The sequence below is a fragment of the Homo sapiens genome, chromosome 15, assembly GCF_000001405.40.
Source record: "Homo sapiens chromosome 15, GRCh38.p14 Primary Assembly".
Classification (NCBI taxonomy): Eukaryota; Metazoa; Chordata; class Mammalia; order Primates; family Hominidae; genus Homo; species Homo sapiens.
In genome coordinates, this window is record NC_000015.10 from 98,953,957 (window position 1) to 98,967,877 (window position 13,921).

A 13,921-nucleotide genomic window follows, 5' to 3' on the forward strand; every position below is an offset into this window, starting at 1 on the left:
GCTGAGGCGTGGTTCCTAAGACGACCCTTACTGTTGAGGGCTGCCAGGAGGGAGAGACACATTCAGCCCCGCAGGTCCTCTGGGAATCCGGTGAGCGTCGGCACCGGGCTGGGGCCGTGCTGATTCCCGGCAGCGTGTGGGAATGTGCGGGTGCCTCGTGGCCTGCTGACATCGCACACAGGTCACAGCCTGTCCAGTTCAGGACATCAGGGCCAAGAGTGAAGTGAGAATACGGAGGCACCTCTGTGTGCTCACCCTGCTGACCGTCACCCAGCCTCCGGGGGGGGTCACAGCTGGCCCCCAGGAAGCTGCTTCCCAGCAGGGCAGGAATTCCATTTGAGTCTTGTCCCTGTTCCAGGAGAAGGGCTGGGTATGTGTCCCCCAAAGGGGAGAGCATTCGAGAAGGATGGCGCCAGCCTCCCCAGAACTGACCTGTGGTTAAAAAAAAAAAAAAAATTGTGCTTTTTAAAAGATGAGTTTTATCAGCTCACACATCCTTCTAGAGTCTAATGGAGATTTTTTGTGTGTGTGGAAATAGTAAACAAGGTCTTGAATCCCACAGAGCAAAAAAGACTTCCTTTCATGGGCAGCACTGGAAGGGTTGTTACTCTGGAATGGTTTAAAAGAGGCGTCACATGGCTTGTTTGTGCTGATGTCACTGCCTCGCTGCTCTCCTGTGGCACCTCCTCGGTCCCTGGCCACAGGGCACAGAGCCAAGCACATCTCATGCTCTTGGCCCAGTTACGCTTCTGCCCAGGGGTAAGTCAGCTGGAGAGGAATTCACAGCCCAGGCATTTCATGTCGTTATGGCCTATTTTAATTTTTTTAACCCCAATCATTTTTCTTAGGAAGTGATGGGGAGTTTGGAAAGGCAGGCTTATTTGTCATCAAGCTGCCAGCTTTTATCAATGCAAACCACATCCCTGTGACATCTGTGACTGTTCCTTGGACAGTTAGGTGAGGGAGGGTCTCCTGGTGGCCCCAGGGTTACTCTTATTTAGGTTGAGAAAAATTCCTTTTTCCAGGATCGTTGGTGATCAAAGTGTAGTCATTCTGTTGCGCAGAGAACTCCATCCCAGCTCCACCCTCATGAATTTTGTAATCTTGGACAAATTATTTAGTATCTTAGTGCTTCTGTTCCCTCATCTGTAACATGGGGGTATATTATAGTCAGTAGCACCTGCTTCACAAACTCGTGAGGACTTCAGCAGTTCACACACATAACTGCCTCGCTGCCTGGCACCTAGCGTGCACATGGCATTCTACCGTGGGGTAGACTTTTAAAATTCTGGCTACAGAGATACTTTTCCATAAAAGTGGCCACATGGAACTCTCCAAATCTAAGAAGCATACTGTGGGGGCCTTCATATTTTGTCTAATTCTTTTCTCCCCAGAACAGGAACCTGCACCCTTCCTTCTTTTAAAGGGCGACGTGGTAAATAAACATTTTTAGACTTGCAGGCCACAGTCTCTGTCCTAATGTCCTCAGCTGGTAGTTGTAGCTGGAAAGCAGCTGCAGCCCACATGGAAATGAGGGAGCGTGGCCCCATGCCAGTGCAGCTGATGTAGAGGCGGGCAGCCCCGGGTTAGGCCCTGTGGAGACGCAGGCCCCCGGGCTCTAGAACGCTGAATTCTAGTGAATTCTGGATGGCTCTCCCTCACACCCAGGCCCACCCTCCCTCAAGGTTGCACCTTCTCCACCTGAAGGAAGCTGCCAGGTGGCCATAGGAGCCCTTCTCTTGGCAGGCCAGCTTCCAGGCCCAGTGGCTTCTCTTACATCAGGGGCCTCCCCTTGGAATGTTCCCTGAAGGCCAGACACGGGCAGGTAGTCTGTGGTCAAGCAGCCACCCTGACAGGAGGCTAGATGCCACTGGGTGTGCTTTGAGTTTCCTAGATGTGGAGAGTTCTGTGTGGCCACTTTTATGGAAAAGCATCTCTTTAGCCAGAATTTTAAAATAAAGAGGATAACTTCCTGGTGAGAACAGACGTGGAAAGGAAGGCACTTTGGTTTCACGCTCATGTAAGAGAGGGCTGTTGGCGGTCACTCCTCAGAACTATGGCCAGCCCTGGATGGTAGCCAGCTGCTTTTTGCCCCAAAAGTCTGTTTAGCTGGGTCTCTGCATTCTGGAAGCTTGTCAAAGCCCGGGCCTTTCCTGGGTCAGGGCAGCCGGCTTTCCTTGTCCACGTGTGGCCGGCTGTTTTCTTGGGGAGCCCCGGCCACAGCCGGCAGGACTCCCTTTGCTCCATGTGACTCTGAGGGCCTCACAGGTATTTGCAGCCCAGGTGCTGTCGGAGCCCAGCCGATGCGACCGACACACAGCACAAGCGTCATCCTGTTCTGCCTGTCCCTTGCGTGTGGAGGGGACTCGTGCCCAGGGCTCTCCTTGCTGGCTTGTTGGAATCTGGCTTCAGGTCTACACGGGGCCTCTCGTTTGGTCCAGAACAGCCTGGCTCATCGGCTGGGGCTTGCTTGTGCAGGGCTGGAGCGAGCACGTGCTAGATGGAGACAGCAGACTCGGAGTGTGCATTTCTTCGTGTTGCAAGCCTGGCCTCACAGTGCCTTCTTCCTTTGGTTGTCTGCCAGGGGTAGCCCTGCACCAGGAGGAAGCTTAGAAATAGCACAGGTGGGAACCGGAGAGAGAGCACTGTTGGGGAAGCTGCGGTCACTCATCAGCCTTCCTGGTGAGAAACCAGGGGTTTCCTGCTAATTCTGGAAAGGATGTTTCAGCAGTGCCTGCATGAGACGCCTCAGATAGAAAACTGGTTATTTTTGTTTCTTAGCACTGCCACCATAGATAACAGCTGTCACGATGGACAGTGTGGACCTGGATTAGTCCTTCTTGGGAAAGGAGAGTTTGGGTTTTGTACCGTGGTGGTTCTGGGTTCTGGGGGAAGAGAATGGAACCGTACGAGGTAAAACAGGAGACTCTGAAGGCCACTTGGCCATCCAGGCAGAAAGCCAGGGATGGAGAGGGGCAGCAGGGCTGTGTTCAGTGCTCCCGCCGTACGCTTGTATGCGGGAAACCACTGCAGGCGGCCCATGAAGCCTCCTGGCCATGTGCGCCCTCCCGGTTTGGACCCCCTCCCGTGTGTCTTGGCTGCAGGTTTGAACTGATGCGCATGTGCTGGCAGTATAACCCCAAGATGAGGCCTTCCTTCCTGGAGATCATCAGCAGCATCAAAGAGGAGATGGAGCCTGGCTTCCGGGAGGTCTCCTTCTACTACAGCGAGGAGAACAAGCTGCCCGAGCCGGAGGAGCTGGACCTGGAGCCAGAGAACATGGAGAGCGTCCCCCTGGACCCCTCGGCCTCCTCGTCCTCCCTGCCACTGCCCGACAGACACTCAGGACACAAGGCCGAGAACGGCCCCGGCCCTGGGGTGCTGGTCCTCCGCGCCAGCTTCGACGAGAGACAGCCTTACGCCCACATGAACGGGGGCCGCAAGAACGAGCGGGCCTTGCCGCTGCCCCAGTCTTCGACCTGCTGATCCTTGGATCCTGAATCTGTGCAAACAGTAACGTGTGCGCACGCGCAGCGGGGTGGGGGGGGAGAGAGAGTTTTAACAATCCATTCACAAGCCTCCTGTACCTCAGTGGATCTTCAGAACTGCCCTTGCTGCCCGCGGGAGACAGCTTCTCTGCAGTAAAACACATTTGGGATGTTCCTTTTTTCAATATGCAAGCAGCTTTTTATTCCCTGCCCAAACCCTTAACTGACATGGGCCTTTAAGAACCTTAATGACAACACTTAATAGCAACAGAGCACTTGAGAACCAGTCTCCTCACTCTGTCCCTGTCCTTCCCTGTTCTCCCTTTCTCTCTCCTCTCTGCTTCATAACGGAAAAATAATTGCCACAAGTCCAGCTGGGAAGCCCTTTTTATCAGTTTGAGGAAGTGGCTGTCCCTGTGGCCCCATCCAACCACTGTACACACCCGCCTGACACCGTGGGTCATTACAAAAAAACACGTGGAGATGGAAATTTTTACCTTTATCTTTCACCTTTCTAGGGACATGAAATTTACAAAGGGCCATCGTTCATCCAAGGCTGTTACCATTTTAACGCTGCCTAATTTTGCCAAAATCCTGAACTTTCTCCCTCATCGGCCCGGCGCTGATTCCTCGTGTCCGGAGGCATGGGTGAGCATGGCAGCTGGTTGCTCCATTTGAGAGACACGCTGGCGACACACTCCGTCCATCCGACTGCCCCTGCTGTGCTGCTCAAGGCCACAGGCACACAGGTCTCATTGCTTCTGACTAGATTATTATTTGGGGGAACTGGACACAATAGGTCTTTCTCTCAGTGAAGGTGGGGAGAAGCTGAACCGGCTTCCCTGCCCTGCCTCCCCAGCCCCCTGCCCAACCCCCAAGAATCTGGTGGCCATGGGCCCCGAAGCAGCCTGGCGGACAGGCTTGGAGTCAAGGGGCCCCATGCCTGCTTCTCTCCCAGCCCCAGCTCCCCCGCCCGCCCCCAAGGACACAGATGGGAAGGGGTTTCCAGGGACTCAGCCCCACTGTTGATGCAGGTTTGCAAGGAAAGAAATTCAAACACCACAACAGCAGTAAGAAGAAAAGCAGTCAATGGATTCAAGCATTCTAAGCTTTGTTGACATTTTCTCTGTTCCTAGGACTTCTTCATGGGTCTTACAGTTCTATGTTAGACCATGAAACATTTGCATACACATCGTCTTTAATGTCACTTTTATAACTTTTTTACGGTTCAGATATTCATCTATACGTCTGTACAGAAAAAAAAAAGCTGCTATTTTTTTTGTTCTTGATCTTTGTGGATTTAATCTATGAAAACCTTCAGGTCCACCCTCTCCCCTTTCTGCTCACTCCAAGAAACTTCTTATGCTTTGTACTAGAGTGCGTGACTTTCTTCCTCTTTTCCCGGTAATGGATACTTCTATCACATAATTTGCCATGAACTGTTGGATGCCTTTTTATAAATACATCCCCCATCCCTGCTCCCACCTGCCCCTTTAGTTGTTTTCTAACCCGTAGGCTCTCTGGGCACGAGGCAGAAAGCAGGCCGGGCACCCATCCTGAGAGGGCCGCGCTCCTCTCCCCAGCCTGCCCTCACAGCATTGGAGCCTGTTACAGTGCAAGACATGATACAAACTCAGGTCAGAAAAACAAAGGTTAAATATTTCACACGTCTTTGTTCAGTGTTTCCACTCACCGTGGTTGAGAAGCCTCACCCTCTCTTTCCCTTGCCTTTGCTTAGGTTGTGACACACATATATATATATTTTTTTAATTCTTGGGTACAACAGCAGTGTTAACCGCAGACACTAGGCATTTGGATTACTATTTTTCTTAATGGCTATTTAATCCTTCCATCCCACGAAAAACAGCTGCTGAGTCCAAGGGAGCAGCAGAGCGTGGTCCGGCAGGGCCTGTTGTGGCCCTCGCCACCCCCCTCACCGGACCGACTGACCTGTCTTTGGAACCAGAACATCCCAAGGGAACTCCTTCGCACTGGCGTTGAGTGGGACCCCGGGATCCAGGCTGGCCCAGGGCGGCACCCTCAGGGCTGTGCCCGCTGGAGTGCTAGGTGGAGGCAGCACAGACGCCACGGTGGCCCAAGAGCCCCTTTGCTTCTTGCTGGGGGACCAGGGCTGTGGTGCTGGCCCACTTTCCCTCGGCCAGGAATCCAGGTCCTTGGGGCCCAGGGGTCTTGTCTTGTTTCATTTTTAGCACTTCTCACCAGAGAGATGACAGCACAAGAGTTGCTTCTGGGATAGAAATGTTTAGGAGTAAGAACAAAGCTGGGATACGGTGATTGCTAGTTGTGACTGAAGATTCAACACAGAAAAGAAAGTTTATACGGCTTTTTTGCTGGTCAGCAGTTTGTCCCACTGCTTTCTCTAGTCTCTATCCCATAGCGTGTTCCCTTTAAAAAAAAAAAAAAGGTATTATATGTAGGAGTTTTCTTTTAATTTATTTTGTGATAAATTACCAGTTTCAATCACTGTAGAAAAGCCCCATTATGAATTTAAATTTCAAGGAAAGGGTGTGTGTGTGTGTATGTGTGGGGTGTGTGTGTGTGAGAGTGATGGGACAGTTCTTGATTTTTTGGGTTTTTTTTCCCCCAAACATTTATCTACCTCACTCTTATTTTTTATATGTGTATATAGACAAAAGAATACATCTCACCTTTCTCAGCACCTGACAATAGGCCGTTGATACTGGTAACCTCATCCACGCCACAGGCGCCACACCCAGGTGATGCAGGGGGAAGCCAGGCTGTATTCCGGGGTCAAAGCAACACTAACTCACCTCTCTGCTCATTTCAGACAGCTTGCCTTTTTCTGAGATGTCCTGTTTTGTGTTGCTTTTTTTGTTTTGTTTTCTATCTTGGTTTCCACCAAGGTGTTAGATTTCTCCTCCTCCTAGCCAGGTGGCCCTGTGAGGCCAACGAGGGCACCAGAGCACACCTGGGGGAGCCACCAGGCTGTCCCTGGCTGGTTGTCTTTGGAACAAACTGCTTCTGTGCAGATGGAATGACCAACACATTTCGTCCTTAAGAGAGCAGTGGTTCCTCAGGTTCTGAGGAGAGGAAGGTGTCCAGGCAGCACCATCTCTGTGCGAATCCCCAGGGTAAAGGCGTGGGGCATTGGGTTTGCTCCCCTTGCTGCTGCTCCATCCCTGCAGGAGGCTCGCGCTGAGGCAGGACCGTGCGGCCATGGCTGCTGCATTCATTGAGCACAAAGGTGCAGCTGCAGCAGCAGCTGGAGAGCAAGAGTCACCCAGCCTGTGCGCCAGAATGCAGAGGCTCCTGACCTCACAGCCAGTCCCTGATAGAACACACGCAGGAGCAGAGTCCCCTCCCCCTCCAGGCTGCCCTCTCAACTTCTCCCTCACCTCCTTCCCTAGGGGTAGACAGAGATGTACCAAACCTTCCGGCTGGAAAGCCCAGTGGCCGGCGCCGAGGCTCGTGGCGTCACGCCCCCCCCGCCAGGGCTGTACCTCCGTCTCCCTGGTCCTGCTGCTCACAGGACAGACGGCTCGCTCCCCTCTTCCAGCAGCTGCTCTTACAGGCACTGATGATTTCGCTGGGAAGTGTGGCGGGCAGCTTTGCCTAAGCGTGGATGGCTCCTCGGCAATTCCAGCCTAAGTGAAGGCGCTCAGGAGCCTCCTGCTGGAACGCGACCCATCTCTCCCAGGACCCCGGGGATCTTAAGGTCATTGAGAAATACTGTTGGATCAGGGTTTTGTTCTTCCACACTGTAGGTGACCCCTTGGAATAACGGCCTCTCCTCTCGTGCACATACCTACCGGTTTCCACAACTGGATTTCTACAGATCATTCAGCTGGTTATAAGGGTTTTGTTTAAACTGTCCGAGTTACTGATGTCATTTTGTTTTTGTTTTATGTAGGTAGCTTTTAAGTAGAAAACACTAACAGTGTAGTGCCCATCATAGCAAATGCTTCAGAAACACCTCAATAAAAGAGAAAACTTGGCTTGTGTGATGGTGCAGTCACTTTACTGGACCAACCCACCCACCTTGACTATACCAAGGCATCATCTATCCACAGTTCTAGCCTAACTTCATGCTGATTTCTCTGCCTCTTGATTTTTCTCTGTGTGTTCCAAATAATCTTAAGCTGAGTTGTGGCATTTTCCATGCAACCTCCTTCTGCCAGCAGCTCACACTGCTTGAAGTCATATGAACCACTGAGGCACATCATGGAATTGATGTGAGCATTAAGACGTTCTCCCACACAGCCCTTCCCTGAGGCAGCAGGAGCTGGTGTGTACTGGAGACACTGTTGAACTTGATCAAGACCCAGACCACCCCAGGTCTCCTTCGTGGGATGTCATGACGTTTGACATACCTTTGGAACGAGCCTCCTCCTTGGAAGATGGAAGACCGTGTTCGTGGCCGACCTGGCCTCTCCTGGCCTGTTTCTTAAGATGCGGAGTCACATTTCAATGGTACGAAAAGTGGCTTCGTAAAATAGAAGAGCAGTCACTGTGGAACTACCAAATGGCGAGATGCTCGGTGCACATTGGGGTGCTTTGGGATAAAAGATTTATGAGCCAACTATTCTCTGGCACCAGATTCTAGGCCAGTTTGTTCCACTGAAGCTTTTCCCACAGCAGTCCACCTCTGCAGGCTGGCAGCCGAATGGCTTGCCAGTGGCTCTGTGGCAAGATCACACTGAGATCGATGGGTGAGAAGGCTAGGATGCTTGTCTAGTGTTCTTAGCTGTCACGTTGGCTCCTTCCAGGGTGGCCAGACGGTGTTGGCCACTCCCTTCTAAAACACAGGCGCCCTCCTGGTGACAGTGACCCGCCGTGGTATGCCTTGGCCCATTCCAGCAGTCCCAGTTATGCATTTCAAGTTTGGGGTTTGTTCTTTTCGTTAATGTTCCTCTGTGTTGTCAGCTGTCTTCATTTCCTGGGCTAAGCAGCATTGGGAGATGTGGACCAGAGATCCACTCCTTAAGAACCAGTGGCGAAAGACACTTTCTTTCTTCACTCTGAAGTAGCTGGTGGTACAAATGAGAACTTCAAGAGAGGATGTTATTTAGACTGAACCTCTGTTGCCAGAGATGCTGAAGATACAGACCTTGGACAGGTCAGAGGGTTTCATTTTTGGCCTTCATCTTAGATGACTGGTTGCGTCATTTGGAGAAGTGAGTGCTCCTTGATGGTGGAATGACCGGGTGGTGGGTACAGAACCATTGTCACAGGGATCCTGGCACAGAGAAGAGTTACGAGCAGCAGGGTGCAGGGCTTGGAAGGAATGTGGGCAAGGTTTTGAACTTGATTGTTCTTGAAGCTATCAGACCACATCGAGGCTCAGCAGTCATCCGTGGGCATTTGGTTTCAACAAAGAAACCTAACATCCTACTCTGGAAACTGATCTCGGAGTTAAGGCGAATTGTTCAAGAACACAAACTACATCGCACTCGTCAGTTGTCAGTTCTGGGGCATGACTTTAGCGTTTTGTTTCTGCGAGAACATAACGATCACTCATTTTTATGTCCCACGTGTGTGTGTCCGCATCTTTCTGGTCAACATTGTTTTAACTAGTCACTCATTAGCGTTTTCAATAGGGCTCTTAAGTCCAGTAGATTACGGGTAGTCAGTTGACGAAGATCTGGTTTACAAGAACTAATTAAATGTTTCATTGCATTTTTGTAAGAACAGAATAATTTTATAAAATGTTTGTAGTTTATAATTGCCGAAAATAATTTAAAGACACTTTTTTTTTCTCTGTGTGTGCAAATGTGTGTTTGTGATCCATTTTTTTTTTTTTTTTTTAGGACACCTGTTTACTAGCTAGCTTTACAATATGCCAAAAAAGGATTTCTCCCTGACCCCATCCGTGGTTCACCCTCTTTTCCCCCCATGCTTTTTGCCCTAGTTTATAACAAAGGAATGATGATGATTTAAAAAGTAGTTCTGTATCTTCAGTATCTTGGTCTTCCAGAACCCTCTGGTTGGGAAGGGGATCATTTTTTACTGGTCATTTCCCTTTGGAGTGTAGCTACTTTAACAGATGGAAAGAACCTCATTGGCCATGGAAACAGCCGAGGTGTTGGAGCCCAGCAGTGCATGGCACCGTTCGGCATCTGGCTTGATTGGTCTGGCTGCCGTCATTGTCAGCACAGTGCCATGGACATGGGAAGACTTGACTGCACAGCCAATGGTTTTCATGATGATTACAGCATACACAGTGATCACATAAACGATGACAGCTATGGGGCACACAGGCCATTTGCTTACATGCCTCGTATCATGACTGATTACTGCTTTGTTAGAACACAGAAGAGACCCTATTTTATTTAAGGCAGAACCCCGAAGATACGTATTTCCAATACAGAAAAGAATTTTTAATAAAAACTATAACATACACAAAAATTGGTTTTAAAGTTGACTCCACTTCCTCTAACTCCAGTGGATTGTTGGCCATGTCTCCCCAACTCCACAATATCTCTATCATGGGAAACACCTGGGGTTTTTGCGCTACATAGGAGAAAGATCTGGAAACTATTTGGGTTTTGTTTTCAACTTTTCATTTGGATGTTTGGCGTTGCACACACACATCCACCGGTGGAAGAGACGCCCGGTGAAAACACCTGTCTGCTTTCTAAGCCAGTGAGGTTGAGGTGAGAGGTTTGCCAGAGTTTGTCTACCTCTGGGTATCCCTTTGTCTGGGATAAAAAAAATCAAACCAGAAGGCGGGATGGAATGGATGCACCGCAAATAATGCATTTTCTGAGTTTTCTTGTTAAAAAAAAATTTTTTTAAGTAAGAAAAAAAAAGGTAATAACATGGCCAATTTGTTACATAAAATGACTTTCTGTGTATAAATTATTCCTAAAAAATCCTGTTTATATAAAAAATCAGTAGATGAAAAAAATTTCAAAATGTTTTTGTATATTCTGTTGTAAGAATTTATTCCTGTTATTGCGATATACTCTGGATTCTTTACATAATGGAAAAAAGAAACTGTCTATTTTGAATGGCTGAAGCTAAGGCAACGTTAGTTTCTCTTACTCTGCTTTTTTCTAGTAAAGTACTACATGGTTTAAGTTAAATAAAATAATTCTGTATGCATTTCTGTCTCTGGTTTGGTTTTGTCCCTCCTGGAAGCATCACTACACTTTGGTGGCAGGGAAGCTGAGCTATGTGGGGCACGTGTGTTCACGCATGTTGCCTGGAAGCGTTCTCCAGAAAAGCATTGCCTCTTCTCTGACAGCTGAGCTTTCTCAGCATGCAGATTGCCAGTAAAGACGACAGGGAAGCTATCTGTTTCTCCCTCCATTAAATCATCTGGAAAGAAATTTGAATACATAAATTACGAAACTCTGTACTGCAGTTCCGACTGATTTGTAGACTTTTTTCCTATACCTTCCACTAACAACAGTCAGGCCAAGGCAAGTCTGATCTGCATGACCCCAAGGCAGAGGACTTCAGTTCTTCACATTTCCCATGTGCTTTTTGGTCTTTCACAGCTGACATGCCCACCTCGGGGGGATGCTGGTGAGAACCCAGTGGGCCTCACGCAGAATGTGGGTCACTGGAGGAGCTCCAAAGTCCTAGTTACTTTCTAGCTGCTGCTCAGTGATCTCTGTCTGCCCCTAGGGACCCTACAATGTAAACATTATTTTTGTCAGGGGAAATGGCATGTATGGCAAGGTGTGTTCTAGAATCAGACTAAGGATTCAGACACATCAGGCAGAGAAGCTGGTCATTTCCTTCAACTTTATCATGGGAAATTATGCTCCAATAGCAAAATCGGGCCAGTAGAAGAAGAGCTGTCCAGCAATGTATAGGTAGAAGTAAACCGAAGACCATGGTTACTTCAGACCTGTTGAGCCTCAGAAGTGTTTGCACCTAAAAGCAAAGGCCTTTCTGAAAGGGGACTCTCAGCTGGGGTGCGGTGGCTCACGCATGTAATCCCAGCACTTTGGGAGGCTGAGGTGGGTGGATCACATGAGGTCAGGAGTTCAAGACCAGCCTGGCTAACATGGTAAAACCCCATCTCTACTAAAAATACAAAAAATTAGTGGGACATGGTGGCGGGTGCCTGTAATCCCAGCTACTTGGGAGGGTGAGGCAGGAGAATCTCTTGAACTCAGGAGGCAGAAGCTGCAGTGAGCCAAGATTGTGCCACTGTACTGCAGCCTGGGTGACAGAGTAGGACTCTGTCTCAAAAAGGGTACTCAAGCTTGGCATTGCTTCAGGGTTACTGCTCAGTGTTGTCACCGAGTGCCTGGCACTCAGGGGATCTTCATTAGGTGACTGATGATGAGGAGGTCTCAATTCTGAGGCTGGAAAGCCCAACAGGGCCTCCTCCTTCCCTGGTCAGGTAGATGCTGCCCTTCCAGGTTGCCACAGTGCAGTCTGCACTTGGCCTGCCCAGCCAGAAGGAGCAGCAATATCTAAGGATGAAGGTGCTGGGTCTTCAGAAGCATTAGAACCTTTCCCCTCCAGGCCATTTCTTAAGACTGCAAGCCCTCAAGAGCTATTTCTGCATTTACCCCCCAAGTCCAGGTATGAGTCCATACTCACTCAGATGTGTGATTTTTGTAGTGTTCTAATGTTGCTAAAAAGACCTTCACATCCATTCTCTCACCAGATGTTCACAATCACCCTGCAAAGGAAGGATTTTAATTACTCTTACAGATGAGCAAACATACAGGCATGCTCAAGACCCCTCCCCCGCCCCCCCACCTCCCCACCAGCTACCAACTCAGGACTCAGCCTCTCAGCCTTTTCTGCTGTGGTTCTCAATCTGGCTTCAGCACTGCCAGAACTAAGCAGGCTCTGTGCATACTGACAAGGGATGCTGGGTGAAGTACACAGCCCAGGTGTGAATGAGACTTCTGGGGTTCTCCCTGGAGAACTTCAGGGGCCACAGCGGGGGGAAATGATGGGGAAGTTCTTGAAGAGGGAGCTCTGGGCCTCCCAACTGGATAATATCTAAAAATTTAAAAAATGTTATGGCATGCTGCCAGGCAGTCTGAAATATAACACTGGAGCCCAGTCCTGGGGGCCCCTTGCTTGCCAGTGTCCTGGGACAGAATTGCCCATAGCAGAGACAGATCTCCACATTAGCAACCATGCAGCCAGACCTGTGCACACCGCCCAGCACCACCTCCCCCCATCCCCCAATATGTGGGCTTTGATCTGTTTTCTAGCAAATGATCCAGGTGTACTTGCAAAGGGAGTCCCCTAAAGGCTACTCCAAATGCAAAAAGCGTGCTGGCGGCCTTGACTGCTTCCTTTGGTTTTCTTGTGGGTTTTTGTTTGTTTTTTTTTTTTTTTTTGAGACACAGTTTTGTTCTTATTGACCAGGCTGGAGTGCAATAGTGCAATCTCGGCTCACTGCAACCTCCGCCTCCTGGGTTCAAGCGATTCCCCTGCCTCGGCCTCCCAAGTAGCTGGGATTATAGGCACCCACCACCACACCCGGCTAATGTTTTTGTAATTGTAGTAGAGACTGGGTTTCACATGTTGGTCAGGCTGGTCTTGAACTCCTGGCCTCAAGTGATCCGCCCACCTCAGCCTCCCAAAGTGCTGGGATTATAGGTGTGAGCCACTGCGCCTGGCCTGGTTCCTTTGTTAGGAAGCTGCAAATGCTTTTCTTAATAGTGAATGAATCCAAACACTAACTGATGAATTTTTTAAATGTAGTCAAGTGAAAAATGGTAGTTGTAAGCACACCAACGTAACAAGAAATTTCCCAGAGCTCACCTACCTTCACTCACTTCCTCCAAAAAAAAAAAAAAAAGCGATGTTACCAATGGGACTCCCAAAGGAAATCTGCCCCTAGAAAACACTGAACAGGTAGAATCTTGCTGGGAGAAGCTTGGCACAAGACCCGGTGCTGTGTCATAAAAGCAAAACAAAACATGAAACAGAAAGGAGATTCTGCTTTTAAAAAGGGAAGACACCATGGAGAGAAGCTAAGCCCGGCTATTAACCTGCGCCTTCAAACCAAACACTACCAGTGTGACTGTAAAATGGTGCAGCCCCTGTGCAAAACAAAATGGCAGTTCCTTAAAAAATTAAACACAGAATTAGCATTGAATCCAGGAATTCACCTCTGGAGATTGACCTGAAAGCAAGGACTCGGATACATATTTGCACGCCAGTGTTTGTAGCAGCATGATTTGCAAGAACCAAAAGGAGCAAGTAACGTAAGTGTTCATCTACAGCTGAATGGATGAAATGTGGTCCATACATACACTGGAATATTATTCAGCCTTCAACAGAATGAAATCCTGTCCCATGCTACAACATGGATGAACCTGGAGGACATGAGGCTGAAATAATACGCCAGATGTAGAAGGACCAGCGCCGCATGACTCCCTCATATGAGCTACCTACAGTCAGATTCATAGGGATGGAGGGTGGAGTGGTGAGCACCAAGTGCTGGGAGGAAGAAGGAATAGGGA

General features: G+C 49.2%; 1 protein-coding gene across 9 annotated transcripts in view; it reads left to right on the top strand.

Annotated features, from left to right (window-relative positions):
- Positions 1-10,574, top strand: part of IGF1R (insulin like growth factor 1 receptor) — a 315,992-nt gene extending 305,418 nt beyond the window's left edge. For 5 of the 9 annotated variants that reach the window (NM_000875.5, NM_001291858.2, XM_047432445.1 and 2 more), the window contains one exon: positions 3,105-10,574. In NM_000875.5, the coding sequence (NP_000866.1) occupies positions 3,105-3,486 (382 nt within the window). In that variant the 3' untranslated portion in view covers positions 3,487-10,574. The remainder of the gene's footprint in view (positions 1-3,104) is intronic. The other 4 variants (XM_047432443.1, XM_047432444.1, XM_017022137.2 and 1 more) reach the window with 1 other exon arrangement.